Consider the following 15,819-nt stretch of genomic DNA (forward strand, 5'->3'; position numbering starts at 1 on the left):
GCACAGTGGCTCACACCTGTAATCCTAGCACTTTGGGAGGCTCAGGCGGGTGGATCACCTGAGGTCAGGAGTTCTAGACCAGCCTGGCCAACATGGCAAAACCCCATTTCTACTAAAAATACAAAAAAATTAGCCAGGCGTGATGGTGGATGCCTGTAATCCCAGCTACTCATGAGGCTGGCGCAGGAGAATTGCCTGAACCCAGGAGGCAGAGTTTGCAGTGAGCCAAGATCGTGCCACTGCATTCCAGCCTGGGCGACAGAGTGAGACTCCCTCTCAAAAAAAACAAAAACAAACAAACAAACTTAAAGCACAGCTATTCTAGTCTGATCCCATCATTTTAAAATTACAAAGAAGAACACAAAAATAATTCCCTTTCCCTTACATTCTCAAATATGAGCCCTTTTCAATAATGTTTAGAAAGCATACTGGTGGCCAGGCCTTGTGGCTCACGCCTGTAATCCAAGCATTTCTGGAGGCCAAAGCAGGAGTATCGTTTGAGCCTAGGTGTTCAAGACATTGTTGTTACTAAAAATAAAACAATTTACTAAAAATAAAACAATTAGCCAGGTGTGGAGGCACAGGCCTGTAGTCCCTGCTATTCAGAAGGCTGAGGCAGGAGGATCACTTGAGACCAGGAGTTCAAGGCTGCAGTAAGCTATGATCATGCCATTACACTCCAGCCTGAGCAACAGAGACTCTGTCTCTAAGGCAAAAAAAAAAAAAAAAAAAAAAAAACAGGCTGGGCGCGGTGGCTCACAGCTGTAATCCCAGCATTTTGGGAGGCTGAGGAGAGTGGATCACAAGGTCAGGAGATGGAGACCATCCTGTGAAACCCTGTCTCTAATAAAAATATAAAAAATTAGCCGGGCACGGAGGCACACGCCTGTAGTCCCAGCTACTCGGGAGGCTGAGGCAGGAGAATCGCCTGAACCTGGGAGGCAGAGGTTGCAGGGAGGCAGAGGTTGCAGCGAGCCGAGATCGCGCCACTGCACTCCAGCCTGGTGACAGAGCGAGACTCCATCTCAAAAAAAAAAAAAAGAACAAAAATGGAAAAAAGAAAGCAAGCATGCCAGAAGGGGACTATAGGGACAAAACTTACCTACTAAAAGACTATAACAATTTCCTCATAAGCCATCAGCCCCAGGTGCTAATGAGAGAAAGAGAAAAAGATTAAGAAAGAGGTTACAGTGAGCCAAGATCGCACCACTGCACTCCAGACTGGGTGACAGAATGAGACGCCATCTCAAAAAAAAAAAAAAAAAAAAATTCCTCAAAGAAAGGTTACCTAACAACTTATTTTAGTCTGAAATCCTTTTCAAATTCAGTCATCCAGCACTTACTAAACACTGACCTGTGCTTAACAGGCTTCAAAGCTGACAATTTGTACTTCCTCTTATGAACAAGTAGGTTTCACTACTGCCAAATCCAAGCCAATCAAGGCAAAACAGCATGCTATCTAATTTAAGACCCAGGACCATGTAGAAGAAATATGATTTCCAAAAATGTCCAAAGTTCACTATATTGAACTGAAGAGCAATTTATGTTTACAGCAAATAGCTGTTGCCTGGTTGAGTGAGGAACAGAGAACTCTTATTTCTAACTGCCAGGTTAACTCCCCAGCAAAACTATAAACTAAGTGGTATGGCGAAATATAGTTAAGTACATTTTAATTAGAACAAGGTTTTCAAACCCCGGAAAATTTTGTATCATTCAAAAAGGCATCTTGAATATATCTACTATTATCTACCATTTACAATTTTAGGCAATTTTGCTTAAGTAACCTCTGAGCCTTGGTGTCTATCTATGAAATGGGGATTAATAGAATTTACTTCAGCAGATTTGCCAGAGTTAAATGAAACAATGTAAACAAAGTATTTGGCACAGGACTTAGCACAGAAATTGAAAATACATAGTAGCTACTATAAAACACAGAAAGTAAAACTTGGCAACCTTCTTAGATTAAATATGCAGGAAAAAATAAACAAAAATTTAAAACCTCACACATTAAAAAAACAAGAAATATGCAAAAAAGTGAAATTAAGTATTATAGGGATTATGAGTTTTAAAAGGCTAAAATCCACTATTCTATAGTAAGTCAACTACATAAAATTGGTTCAAGGGTAAAGAAATGAAAATTATGGACTGCTTAAACTTATAGATTCAGGAAATCATTTGCAAGACTAATCACCAGCTCTACAATAAGGATTTAGATCAGCCACCCGAGTTGCCCATCCCCACATGATACATTGCTTAGTTTGTAATTATGTCTCATTGTTAACTAACCATTAACCTTTTTTTTTTTTTTTTTTTTTTGAGACAGAGTCTCACTCTTTCACCCAGGCTGGAGTGCAGTGGGGAGATCTCAGCTCACGCAACCTTCACCTCCCAGGCTCAAGTGATTCTCATGTCTCAGCCTCCCAAGTAGCTGGGATTACAGGCACACACCACCACGCTCAACTAATTTTTTTGTATTTTTAGTAGATACAGGGCTTCACCATGTTGGCCAGGCTGGTCTCAAACTCCTGGCCTCAAATGAGCCACCCACCTTGGCCTCCCAAAGTGCTGGGATTTATAGGCATGAGCCACCGTGACCGGCCTTAACCGGGAACCTTTAAAACAGGCTTAACAAATTGATTGTTCTATTAAATACTTTGGCAAACTACCCCCTAAAAATCAGTTATCTCCAAATATGGTCCAAGAATCTTCTGTATCAGAATCACTTTGTTTAAAATGCAAAATGATGGAATGAAGCTCAGAAATCTATGCACATTTCTTTTGACAACCACTGCCCAAAAGTGTTTAGTAAAGGCATTCTATATTAAATCTACCTAGAATATAACTTAATCTCCAATTACTTTCTTGCAATACCTGCCACTACAACAAGCTTCTGTTCTGGTACTGTGTGTCTGAATTTACTCAAGAATTTAGGGAAAACAGGGTAAATAAATACCAGGAAATAATGATGCACTTTATAGACAAAAATAACTACTAACACATCTTTCATTTTTTATCAATATGAAATTAACTCAGCCATTACAGTGAAGATAAGCACATAATATATAAACTCTTTAGTAGTCCCACAGAAAACCTGATCTTAGGAAGATTAGACCTTGTTTCAACAAGAGCTTTACTTTAAAATAGTACACAGTAAAGTACAGTCTTATTTACAGTAAGAGGTTGAAAACCTCATCAGAAACCCCAAGTCCAGGCCAGGCGCGGTGGCTCATGCCTGTAATCCCAGCATTTTGGGAGGCCGAGGCCAGGAGTCCAAGAGCAGCGTGGCCAATATGGTGAAACTCTGTCTCTACTAAAAATACAAAAATTAGCCGGATATGGTGGCAGGCACCTGAAATCCCAGCTACTAGGAAGGCTGAGGCACAAGAATTGTTTGAACCCGAAAGGCGGAGGTTCCAGTGAGCCAAGATTGCACCATTGCACTCTGGCCTGGGCGACAAAAGCGAGACCCATCTCAAAAATAAAAAAAAAGGAAACCCCAAGTCCAATAAAACATGCCTAGCATAGTTTGTGTATAACACATCTAGTGTATAAAATATATTTTTAAGTTTTATTTTTAATTCCATAATTTGTTACAGGATTATTTTTTTTTTCTTTTTTTTCTAGAGTAGCTTCTCCATAGACAGAGCAGGGCTACCCCATAGGCAGAGTGGCCCGGAGGATTCTTTAGACTCAGAATGAAACCAGGTTTAATGCCCAACTAATAATCACTTCTGAAAAAGATCATATTAATGCAACATGCAATGGAAGAGCTCACTCTCAACACATACTGCACAGTAGTGGGCGTCCTAAAGCTGTGTGGGTCAGGGAGTGACTGGCACTTGCCTCTTCTCTGTTTCACTGTGTAAAGCCTTTATTGACATCTTGGCATATAAGCAGAATAATCACCAAAAAAATATTACTTATAATGTACCACAACACAATCATTCAAGCATACTACTTGAGGGCCTAAGTTCTCAACCTGGACACTGTAGTATAAGCTACTGATACCACTACTCACTGCTTCACCAGAATGGCTGTATATTTTTCCCACCAAAAGTAGGGCTATTGCACCATACGTTTCATGGTCTCTGTAAAGAAAAGAAATCATTGTCTTGGTTTATATTTCCTCAAAAAACACGTAAATTTTCTACAAATTGCTTTCAAGAACTTAGTGAAAACTGAAGTTTCCTAAGGAAATCATCAATTATTTTTAATCCAACAGTACCCCCATGTACACACACACAGTATTTGTAAAAACATCAATTCTGAAATACAGCTAGCTACCCCCTTTAATATGCACATACCACAAAATTAAAATGCCCAAGCATTTTTTTAAGAGATGGGGTCTCAGTATGTTGCCAAGGCTGGTTCAAACCTCAGGGTTCATGTGATCTTCCTGCCTCAGTCTCCCAAAGTGCTGGGATTACAGGCAAGAGACACCATGCCCAGCCACACAAGTTTTTATTTTTTGTCTTCAGATAGAGTCTCACTCTGTCACCCAGGCTGGAGTGCAGTGGCACAATCTCAGCTCACTGCGACCTCTGCCTCCCAGGTTCAAGCAATTCTCGTGCCTCAGCCTCCTGAACAGTTGGGATTACAGGTGCACACCACCACACCCAGCTAATTTTTGTATTTTTAGTAGAGATGGGGTTTCGCCATGTTGGCCAGGCTGGTCCCAAACTCCTGGCCTCAAGTGATCCACCCACCTCAGCCTCCCAAAATGCTAGGATTACAGTCATGATCCACTGCACCCAGCTACACAAGCATTTTCGAGCATAAACCCTTACTTCATGATTCCTTATTTCCTGTCACATCCCCTGCTCCAAAAAAAAAAAAAATGATTCAGAAAGACCTTTCAGGATTTTTCACTTTTTTCCCCCCATTTAAAAGCTTCTGCAAGAAGATTTTTAAGGATTTCCAGGTGGCTTTATAACTATGAGGAGTGAAGAACTACCTCTTCAGAAGCCTGGGCTGAAGGCTTTTGCTCTTTGCAAATAGTCTTGAGTGGTTCAATTTTCTTATGTCTGCAATACTAAACTTAGGACTGTGTTTAAGGGATAGACCTAAAAGTTTGCCAGCAGGTAAGACATCCATAATCATTTCTACTGACCCAAAACAAGGAGAGGCTTTGAAGAGAGGCCTTGATAAGGCTGTGGTTCTTGCCCTTTCAGTTTGTTCCTGAGGGACAATAACTATTTTAAAACAAGGAAATGCAAGAGGATGCAACTGGGAAAAAAAAAAAAAAAAAATATATATATATATATATATATATATATATATATAAAATAATATAATAATATATATATATATATATATCCAGAATGTAAAAAATTCTACAAAGTCCATGGATTAACAGTAAATTGCAAGTGAATAAAAGTAACAGCAGAACTACAGATGAAAAGGACAAGAAAATTAACCAATTGCAATGTATGAGCTTTATTTGGATCCTAATTTGAAAACTGAACAGTCTTGAGCTATTAATTTTGACAGTCCTTTTTTTTTTTCTTTTTTTGAGATAGAGTCTTGCTCTGTCACCCAGGTTGGAGTGCAATGGCACAATCTCAGCTCACTGCAGCCTCCGCCTCCCGGATTCCAGTGATTTTCTTGCCTCAGCCTCCCGAGTAGCTGGGATTACAGGCACACACCACCACAGCCGGCTAATTTTTTTAATTTTTATAGCAGAGATAGGGTATCACCATGTTGGCCAGGCTGGTCTCAAACTCCTGCCTTCAAGGGATCCACCTGCCTCAGCCTCCTAAGGTGCCCGGCCAACAGTCTGACATTTTAACAGTGACTGAATATTTGATGATATAAAAGGATTACTGCTATTATTTCAGGTGTAATAATGGTAGTAAGATTGTTGTTTTTAAAGTCCTTATCTTTTTAGATATCTGCACTGGCCGGACGTGGTGGCTCAAGCCTGTAATCCCAGCACTTTGGGAGGCCGCGGCAGATGGATCACCTAAGGTCGGGAGTTCAAGACCAGCCTGACCTACATGGAGAAACCCCGTCTCTTCTAAAAATACAAAATTAGCCAGGTGTGGTGGTGCATGCCTGTAATCACAGCTACTCGGGAGGCTGAGGCAGGAGAATTACTTGAACCCAGGAGGCAGAGGTTGCGGTGAGCCGACATCATGCCATTGCACTCCAGCCTGGGCAACAAGAGCGAAACTCCACCTCAAAATGAAATAAAATAAAATAAAAAAATAAAGTTCAACAAAAAGGCTGGGTGCAGTGGCTCACGCCTGTAATCCCATCATTTTGGGAGGTCAAGGCAAGCAGATCACCTGAGGTCGGGAGTTTGAAACCAGCCTGGCCAACATGATGAAATCCGTCTCTACTAAAAATACAAAAATTACCCGGGCTTGGTGGTACAAGCCTGTACTCCCAGCTACTCAGGAGGCTGAGACAAGAAAATCACTTGAACCTGAGCAAGACTCTGTCTCAAAAAAAAAAAAAAAAAAAAAATGACACACCAATGACTTATTATTTTGCCTATAATAATCACTTAGGCTGGGTGCAGTGGCTCATGCCTGTAATCCTACCACTGTGGGAGGGCAAGGAGGGAGGATTACTAGTCACTTGAGGCCAGGAGGTTGCAACCAGCCTGGGCAACATAGCGAGACCCAGTTTCTACAAAAAATATATATATTTTTTTGAGACAGAGTTTTGTTCTTGTTGCCCAGGATGGAGTGCAATAGCATGATCTCAGCTCACTGCAACCTCTAACTCCCGGGTTCAAGCGATTCTCCTGTCTCAGCCTCCCAAGTAGCTGGGATTACAGGCACATGCCACTACGCCCGGCTAATTTTTGTATTTTTAGTAGTGACAGGGTTTCATCATATTGGTCAGGCTGGTCTTGAACTCCTGACGTCAGGTGATCTGCCCACCTCGGCCTCCCAAAGTGCTGGTATTACAGGCGTGAGCCACCGCGCCTGGCACTTTTTTTTTTTCTTAACTCGCCAGGCACAGCGGCATGAGATTCTAGTCCCAGGTACATGGGAGGCTGGGGTGGGAGGATCACTTGGACCCAGGAGTTCAAGGCTACAGTAAGCTATGATCACACGACTGCACTCCAGTCTCTGTGATAAAGTGAGACCCTATCTCTAAACAAATAAAATAATCATTAAGACAGTTTAGAATCCTGAAGGAATGCTTACTATATATCAAAATTTAAAAAGCTAAGATTAAGGACAAAATGAGAACAGGAAAACCCAAACTGAATTTGTAGGGTTAATTGATTATTCTCATCTGCTAGCATTTAGACTATTGTCATTAGACGTTGCTAATGAGCTCAGAAGCAGACAGGTAATTTAAACTAAGAGAGCTGGGTATAAAACAACAGTGGCCAGGTGCTGTGGCTTACACCTGTAATCCCAACACTTTGAGAGGCCCAGGCGGATGAGCCTGGGCAACAAAGCGAAACCCTGTCTCCACCAAAATGACGCAAATTAGCCAGGCATGGTGGCATGCACCTGTAGCTGCAGCTATTTGGGAGGCTGATGTGGGAGGATTGCTTGAGCCCAGGAGGTTGAGGCTGCAGTGAACTGTGAGTGTGCCACCGCATTCTGGCCTGGGTGACAGAGCAAGACCCTTTCTCAAAAAAAAAAAAAAAAAAAGGAAAAAAAGAAAAAAGAAAAAAAAAGAAAGAAAAAAAGAGCACAAAGTAAGCTAGAGAATGCATGCTTCACTTAAAGGCGTCCAGTTCTTTTTAGAAAGAGCCTCTCTCTGTCATCCGGGCTAGAGTGCAGTGGTGCGATCTCGGCTCACTGCAGCCTCCACCTCCCAGGTTCAAGCAATTCTCCTGCCTCAGCCTCCTGAGTAGCTGGGATTATAAGTGCATGCCACCACACCCAGATAATTTTTTGTATTTTTAGTAGAGACAGGGTTTTGACATGTTGGCCAGGATGGTCTTGAACTCCTGACCTTACGTGACCCACCCACCTCAGCCTCCCAACTTGCTGAGATTACAGGCATGAGCCACCACACCCGGCCAGGCATCCAGTGTTAAGTAAATACAATGCTCAACAAAATCTGATTTTAACCAGATACTAAAAATATCCTCAAAATTACTGTGTCATTTATGGGCCAAAGAAAGCTACCTAGAAGATAGAAAGGAGGACATAACAAACCAGGGTAGTACAGGGAAAACCAGGCCACCTGGTCATTCTGTTCATTTTACATATAAACTGAGGCGTAAAGTTTGTTTGCTTGTGTCTAAGTGAACTGCCCAAAGCTAAATCAATTAGCCTAAGAACTAGGAAATGGAGCTTAGTAAGGCACAATGATTTGCCCAAAGGCACAGTGCTAATAGGAGAGGCTAGTACCAATATTAGAAATTAAAGCCCAGGCCAGGAGTGGTGGCTCACACCTGTAATCCCAACACTTTGGGAGGCCGAGGAGGAGGATTACCTGAGGTCAGGAGTTCGAGACCAGTCTGGCCAACATGATGAAACACTGTCTCTACTAAAAATACAAAAAAATTAGCCAGGCTTGGTGGCGTGCGCCTGTAATCCCAGCTACTCAGGAGGCTGAGGCAGGGAACTGCTTGAACCACGGAGATGGAGGTTGCAGTGAGCCGAAGTCCCGCCACTGCACTCCAGCCTGGGTGACAGAAGCAAGACTCTGTGTCAAAAAAAAAAAAGAAAAAAAGCCCAAGCACCTAACACTCTGTCCAGTCAATAATTTACTATTTAGTACCACTTTCTTTTCTTTCTTGAGTTATGTATGTCCAGCTCCTTTTTTTTCACAGAATGATTCTCCTCAAAAATGTGTTCTCCAACCAAATAAATCTGAAAATAATGCAAAAAATAATAATACAACAGGGAGGGGAAGCATTTCAAATGATTACAAAAGCAGACTCTTAGTCATCCACACATATATTAAATCCTGTGTTCTAGACTCAAACACCTTTTCCACACAGTAGACAGCTCTTCCAATTTTACAAAGACATTTCTGTACCATGCATAACGTCAAGCATAAAATATGGAAGAAATTTATAAAAGCAATAACTAGTCCTTTTGAAGACTGAAGAAAAGCACAAATACATTACACATTTAGTCTCCCAAATGTTAATCTCATTGGAGGCAAGAACTAAAACTTCAGAGCTTACTATGTATTCCCCGGTATTCAGCTAAGGAACTAGTGGAGTCTCCGGAGCCAGGTTTCACAGCTTTTACCCAACTAAAGAATCTGCTTGGCTCCAACAACTATATCCTTTATATTATCTCCACAGAGGCAATGAAATCAAGAGAAGCACTAACTTTCAGAAATACGCAACTTTCAGAAACATGCCATTCTTTACTTTCTGCTTAAACTAAAACTTAGCCCAACTAGCTTTCTAATATGCAAGTAGAAAAAGCAAAGGTTTTAGAATGGGATCAACCTACATCTGAATCTTGCTTTGCCACTTACAAGTTAACTGGCCAAATTAAATGAGCCTCCATTTCCTCCTGTGTAAATTAAAAACATTACCAAGGTTATAAAAAAACTAAAGCATGAGGTACAATGTCTAGCATATAATGGACCCTCATAGAAAGCTCCTAATTTTTACCTAGAGGTTGAATTCAATGGCCAAATAAGATACAAATTACTTTAAAGCAACTGATGAATATGGCCTTAGTAGAGTCTAAAGTATCTTGGCTGAGTGCAGTGGCTCACACCTGTAATCCCAACACTTTGGGAGTGTAGAAATGGGAGGATGGCTTGAGGCCAAGAGTTCAGACCTGGCGCGGTGGCTCATGCCTGTAATCCCCAGCACTTTGGGAGGCCGAAGCAGGAGGATCACTTGAGGTCAGGAGTTCAAGATGCGCCTGGCCAACATGGCGAAACTCCGTCTCTACTATAATCCCTTGAACCCTGGAGGCTCAGGTTGCAGTGAGCCAAGATTGCACTACTGCACTCCAGCCTGGGTGACAGAGCGAGACTGTCTCAAAAAAAAGAAAAAGAGTTCAGGCCAGGCACAGTGGCTCATGCCTGTAATCCCAGCACTTTTCAGAGGCCAAGGCGGGCGGATCACCTGAGGTCAGGAATTCAAAGACCAGCCTGGCCAACACAGTAAAACCCCGTCTCCACAAAAATACAAAAATTTGCCCAGCGTGGTGGAGCATGCCTGTAATCCCAGCTACTTGGGAGGCTGAGGCGGAACAATCACTTAAACCCAGGAGGCCGAGGTTGCAGTGAGCCGAGATTGTGCCATTGCACTCCAGCCTAGGCAACAGAGCGAGACTCTGTCTCAAGGGTAAAAAAAAAAAAAAAAAAAAGAGTTCAACCAGCCTGAGCAACATGGTAAGACCCCCATCTCTACAAAAAATTTTAAAATTAGCCAGGTGTGGCCGAGTGCAGTGGCTCACGCCTATAATCCCAGCACTCTGGGAGGCCGAGGCGGATCACGAAGTCAGGAGTTCGAGACCAGCCTGGCCAATATGGTGAAACCCCATCTCTACTAAAAAATACAAAAAATTAGCCAGGCGTGCTGGCATGTGTCTGTAGTCCCAGCTACTCAGGAGGCTGAGGCAGAAGAATCACTTGAACCCGGTGGGGCGCAGAGGATGCAGAGAGCTGAGATCATGTCACTGTACTCCAGCCTGGGTAACAGAGGGAGACTCTGTCAAAAAAAAAAAAAAAAAAAAAAAAAAAAAAGAGCACAAACTCAGTAGCCCTGAGTTCCAGCCTAGTCTCTGAAACGGACTGGCAGTCATCATGTCTGTGCTCAATCTCAAGGTTTCATTTGGATGAAAATATAGCTGGCTGGCTGCAATGGCTTATGCCTGTAATCCCAGCATTTTGGGAGGCCAAAATCAGAGGATCGCTTGAGCCCAGGAGCACGAGATCAGCCTGAGCAACACAGTGAGACCCTCATCTCTACAAAAGATACAAAAACAGGCTGGGCACGGTGGCTCATGCCCATAATCCCAGCACTTTGAGACGCCGAGGTAGGCAGATTACCTGAGGTCAGGAGTTAGAGACCAGCCTGACCAACATGGTGAAACCCCCGTCTCTACTAAAAATACAAAAATTAGCCGGGCGTGGTGGCGGGCACCTGTAATCCCAGCTACTCGGGAGGCTGAGGCAGGAGATTCACTTGAACCCAGGAGGTGGAGGTTGCACTGAGCTGAGATCATGCCACTGCACTCCAGCCTGGGTGACAGAGTGAGACTCCATCTCAAAAAAAGGAAAAAAAAAAAAATTAGCCAGGCGTGGTGGTATGCGCTTGTAGTCCCAGCTATTTGGGAAGCTGAGGTGGAAGAACGCAGTGAGCTACGATCCCAGCACTGCACTGCAGCCTGAGCAACATAGCGAGACCCTGCCTCCTAAAAACAAAAACAAAAAAAAACACTGTCTCCTGGATCCATCAGTAAACCCCAAAACTGCACAGGAAAGTGTGCAATCAACATAAGTGCGAATTACAAAATATACTGGCAGGTCCATTTTTCCAGATTAAACTGTAAAAAAAAAAAGGAAATCCAACTAGTCAATCATTAGTCCAATAATAATTCCTTGAATTGCTAAATTTTAGTGTTTTATTTCCTCAACATTTCCACAATTTTTTTTAAGACAGGGTCTCATTCTGTCACCCAGGCTGGACTGTGTGATCTTAGCTACTGTAACCTCCACCTCCAGGGCTCAAGAGATTCTCCCACCTCAGCCTCCCAAGTAGCTGGGACCACAGGCACAAGCCACCACGCCCAGCTAAGTTTTATATTTTTTTCGTAGAGACAGGGTTTCACCATGTTGCCCAGGATCCTCTGGAACTCCTGCGCTCAAGTGATCTGCCTGCCTTGGCCTCCCAAAGTGCTGGGCCCCTGTAATCCCAGCTACTCCGGAGGCTGAGGCAAGAGAATTGCTTCAGCCCGGGAGGCGGAGGTTGCAGTGAGCCGAGATCGCATCACTGCACTCCAGCCTGTGCGGCAGAGCAAGACTCCGTCTTGGAAAAAATAAATAAATAAATAAATAATAGTAATAGGATCCTTTCACTTCAGAATATTCAAATGGAAAAGGTTCATATTAGGAATAGCTCCTCCAACAAAAGAAATTGCTGTTTCTAAGCACTGATAGCATGAGACCAAAACTCAATAGCAATTCTCCACTAAAGAAAATTTTTTAAAAATAAAGCACTAACACAATGAGCACTTATCCATTCCATTTCCAAAAACAACTTACCTTCTGCACCTTCCTTTTGCAGATTTGAAATCCAGATTCTCACACAATCACTGGCCATCTCTTCTGTTTCATTCAACAGCATACACACCAGAGTGTCTCTTACTATTATATACATCAGTAGAGGCCGGGCGAGGTGGCTCATGCCTGTAATCTCAGCACTTTGGGAGGCCAAGGTGGGTGGATCACCTGAGGTCAGGAGTTTGAGACCAACCTGACCAACATGGTGAAACCCCATCTCTACTAAAAATACAAAATTAGCCAGGCGTGGTGGCACATGCCTGTAATCCCAGCTACTTGGGAGGCTGAGGTAGGAGAATCACTTGAACCAGGGAGGTGGAGGGTGCAGTGAGCAGAGATTGTACCACTGCAGCCTGGACAACAAGAGCGAAACTCTGTCTCAAAAATAAATAAATAAATAAATAAATAAAATACATCAATAGAAAGCACACTCACCTTATTCTGCTTTCTAATTATGAAAACAGGAGTGCAGGCCGGGCACAGTGGCTCACGCCTGTAATTTCAGCACTTTGGAAGGCCAAGGCAGTAGGATCGCTTGAGCCCAGGAGTCTGAGACCAGCCTAGGCAGCACAGCAAGACCCTGTCTCTATTAAATAAGTAAACAAACAAACATAAACAGAAGTGCAAATGCCCTAATCCAAAATTATTTTTAAAAAAGATACTTGAGGCCGGGCACGGCGGCTCATGCCTGTAATCCCAGCCCTTTGGGAGGCTGAGGCGGGTGGATAACCTGAGGTCAGGATTTCAAGACCAGCCTGGCCAACATGGTGAAATCCCGGCTCTAGTTAAAAAATACAAAAATTAGACCAGCATGGTGGCGCACGCCTGTAGTCCCAGCTACTTGGGAGGCTGAGGCGGGAGAATCGCTTGAACCCAGGAGGCGGAGGTTGCAGTGAGACGATATGGCGCCACTGCACTCCAGCCTGGGTGACAGAGTGAGACTCCGTCTCAAAAAAAAAAAAAAAGATATTTGAGATTAAATAATACAGAATAACTGCTCTCATCTTTCCCCTCAAACACCATACTTCAATATGAAATTTTAAATGGCTTTTTTCCCCAAATGGGAAAGAAGGATTCCTGGGTCTTGATGGGAGAGCAAGCAAGTTTAAGAGTAAAACATACTAATAAGCCATTGCAAACAGGTGAGATACGATCAGAGCGTGTGCTGTTGCAGGAAACAGAATGGAAAGCCGTGAATGGGAGTCTCTGCACTTCATATCTGCAAAAGAAGAGAATAAAAAGGTTAACTCCAGACTTAGAACAGGTTCTCTTCCCCTGTTGAAAGCAGAGCCCAAAAACATTTTAAATCAAAAAATGAAAATGTGGTTAAGCCAAATTTGTAGATGAACTCAACCTTCTTGTCCTTAATACATAAACTGAATCCCAGGTGTTAGAAGTTACTTGAACATTTTTATGCTACACCACCTTGACATTAAAGGATTTTTTAAAAATCTCCAATCTCTTCTTTAAACTTTTCTTAAACTATCATTAAAATTAGCAAAATATGCTTCTCTGTTGAATGGTTAACCTAACGGGAATGACTTCTAACCGTAAGAATTACAGTTAAAAGGTTCATTTTAACAAATGCTCTTCCCCCTGTAAGGAGTGACAGGTAACCTTTTGGGAACCCCAATGTACACACCCCTTTCTCCAATCCCGCTAAAGTTAAACGTTAGAGGACAGACAAGTGCCTCCTCGCAAGCAATGCCCCCCGCCCCCCCGTCCCCCCGTCCAACACTCCGTTCTCTGCAAAAATCCATCTGCATCTTGCATTAACCCACCCGCCCAGTGACGGTGACTCCAGGCCAAGTCGCAGAAGAAGACCAGGCGTGAGGGGTGAGACCTGTGAGCCCATCTGCACCTGCACCCTCCCACCTGGTGGCACACCTGCCCCGCAGGCGCCCACCTGGGGCCGGGACCGCCCTCTCCCGGTCTCGCGCGCCTGCCCCACTCGGAGCGCGCGCCACGCGCCGCGCAGGACCAGAGGGCGGGGCCCCGGGCAGCGGGGAAGCGAGGGCTCGGGGAGAGGGGGCCGCCCGGGCTCACTCCCTCCCTGGGGACCCAGCGGACCGGAGGGTGCTGGGGGCGGGCGCGGTACCTTTTGGACAGATCCATGAGGACCCCGGAGAAGAGCTTCTCCCCGAAGCGGAACGACACGACAAGCGCGTCCTCAATGATGTGGTCCAGCGTGACCCGCACCTCCGAGCCCGGGATCAGTTGCGACACCGTGGAGTCCCCGCCCGCCGGCGGCACGAGCGCCGGGGCTACGGGCTGAGGCAGCGGCGGCTCCTCGCGCTCCTCGGGAGCCGGGGGCTGCTCCGGCGGCGATGCAGGAGAAGGTGGAAGTTCCGGCCCTCCCTGAGGCGCGGCTGCCGCCGACTCCGCCACCCGAACGGACAGTTTCTCCTCAGCCTCCAGCTCCGGCCCCACCGCCTCTGGGCTGCGGGCGAGCTCCCCCGGCGGCGGCGGTGGCGGCGGGAGCGGCGGCTCGTCGGCCTGAGGAGCGGATTGCTGCCCGTCAGTCTCGCCATCCGGCACAGACGCTTCAGTGGCCGTGACCGGGAGGGGGTCAGTGCCGGCCTCACTGCCGGGGATGGGCTCCATCTCCGGCTCGGCCTCGCCGGCGCCCCCCTCCCCGGGGGACGCTGCAGTCGCTGCCGCCTCTGCAGCCACGGCCGCCATTTTCTTCCTAGCTTCTCCCTCCTCCAACTCCGGCTGCAGCGGCGGCGGCGACAGCGCTGCTTGGTTCCCTGGGCCTTCCCCTCCCTCCCGCGAACACTTTCGTCCCGCCCTTTCCCTGATGCTCGTTTCTGGCACCTCGCCATTGGTTGCATTCTACACCCCTCCCGCACTTTTGATATTCCATTGGCCAGGGATGGACGTCTATCATCTAGTCAGTCCATCCTTCCCACGCAGAGTAGGAACTTCTCATTGGCCAGATGTGTTGTCAAGTGTGGAATCTGAGTGGAGGAATAGGGGGCGGAATCAAAGGGGGCGGGGGAAGTCACAAAAGAGGAGCCATATACTCATCGCCTCTTGCTATTGGCTGGAAGAGGAAATAAAGTTTTATGGTTGGCCTACGCTCCTGCCCATTATCAGCCAGGTCTTTGGAGGTGGGAGAAAGGATGGAATCATGTGGCGTGCCACTTCTTTCAAAGGCGGCCGAGGGGAGGAGTAACAAGGGAATGCGGGAGGGGAACCGCTTCCCAAGAATCTCTGCGCAGAGATCCTTAGAATAAATGTTATTTCTAGGCGCGGACTTCTTGCGGCCGCGTGTGGGCACGACAGGCTTCTTTGGGAAAGACAACTAAAGTTTGAAATACAATCCTACAGACACTTTTTGAGTGCCTACTATGCTAGTCACTGCACTAGGTGCTGGGGAATGGAATGTTCAAGACGTTCTCCATAACCTCATAGCAGCGGGCTCCAGCGGCCATGAGGAGTACGAGGAGTATTTTCCTTGACTTCTAGGAGTATGATGAGTATTTTCCTTGACTTCTCTCCACTTCCTAGGAACAAAGCACCTATTTATTAATATTTCAGAAATAGGAAAATGCTCATGAAAGAAGAGAGACACCATCCTCACTGGATTAAACTGATGACTGTTCCAGGAAGGAGTCTTGAGACATTGCTGGACTG

The 15,819-nt window shown here is 45.1% G+C and overlaps 1 protein-coding gene across 15 annotated transcripts in view, besides 7 other annotated features; it reads right to left on the reverse strand.

The window, feature by feature from the left end:
• Positions 1–14,924, reverse strand: part of PWWP2A (PWWP domain containing 2A) — a 75,135-nt gene extending 60,211 nt beyond the window's left edge. For 6 of the 15 annotated variants that reach the window (XR_007058578.1, NR_146216.2, XM_011534424.4 and 3 more), the window contains exon 1: positions 14,279–14,924. Coding sequence is in view for 5 of the 15 variants with exons in the window: in XM_011534424.4 (XP_011532726.1) it covers positions 14,279–14,862 (584 nt within the window). In the remaining 10 variants the exon portion in view is untranslated. Of the gene's footprint in view, positions 1–1,102; positions 1,222–4,018; positions 4,089–8,861; positions 9,453–11,041; positions 11,445–12,162; positions 13,400–14,278 lie in introns of those variants that run through there. The other 9 variants (NR_146217.2, NM_001349735.2, NM_001349733.2 and 6 more) reach the window with 6 other exon arrangements.
• Positions 1,293–1,493: a silencer, noted in NCBI's record as "peak5558 fragment used in MPRA reporter construct". NCBI's record gives its function as "represses an SCP1 promoter by STARR-seq MPRAs in K562 erythroleukemia cells {active_cell/tissue: K562}" and the evidence as "EXISTENCE:reporter gene assay evidence [ECO:0000049][PMID:32103011]".
• Positions 13,920–14,339: a silencer, noted in NCBI's record as "silent region_16575". NCBI's record gives its function as "represses an Ori minimal core promoter by ATAC-STARR-seq in GM12878 lymphoblastoid cells {active_cell/tissue: GM12878}" and the evidence as "EXISTENCE:reporter gene assay evidence [ECO:0000049][PMID:35858748]".
• Positions 14,460–14,639: a silencer, noted in NCBI's record as "silent region_16576". NCBI's record gives its function as "represses an Ori minimal core promoter by ATAC-STARR-seq in GM12878 lymphoblastoid cells {active_cell/tissue: GM12878}" and the evidence as "EXISTENCE:reporter gene assay evidence [ECO:0000049][PMID:35858748]".
• Positions 14,460–14,975: a biological region, named in NCBI's record as "H3K27ac hESC enhancer GRCh37_chr5:159546009-159546508".
• Positions 14,476–14,975: an enhancer, noted in NCBI's record as "H3K27ac hESC enhancer chr5:159546009-159546508 (GRCh37/hg19 assembly coordinates)". NCBI's record gives its function as "activates a minimal SCP1, AML or CMV promoter by ChIP-STARR-seq in naive H9 embryonic stem cells {active_cell/tissue: H9 hESC(naive)}" and the evidence as "EXISTENCE:reporter gene assay evidence [ECO:0000049][PMID:30033119]".
• Positions 14,740–14,839: a silencer, noted in NCBI's record as "silent region_16577". NCBI's record gives its function as "represses an Ori minimal core promoter by ATAC-STARR-seq in GM12878 lymphoblastoid cells {active_cell/tissue: GM12878}" and the evidence as "EXISTENCE:reporter gene assay evidence [ECO:0000049][PMID:35858748]".
• Positions 15,000–15,049: a silencer, noted in NCBI's record as "silent region_16578". NCBI's record gives its function as "represses an Ori minimal core promoter by ATAC-STARR-seq in GM12878 lymphoblastoid cells {active_cell/tissue: GM12878}" and the evidence as "EXISTENCE:reporter gene assay evidence [ECO:0000049][PMID:35858748]".

Source organism: Homo sapiens, chromosome 5 (assembly GCF_000001405.40).
Source record: "Homo sapiens chromosome 5, GRCh38.p14 Primary Assembly".
Lineage (NCBI taxonomy): Eukaryota > Metazoa > Chordata > Mammalia > Primates > Hominidae > Homo > Homo sapiens.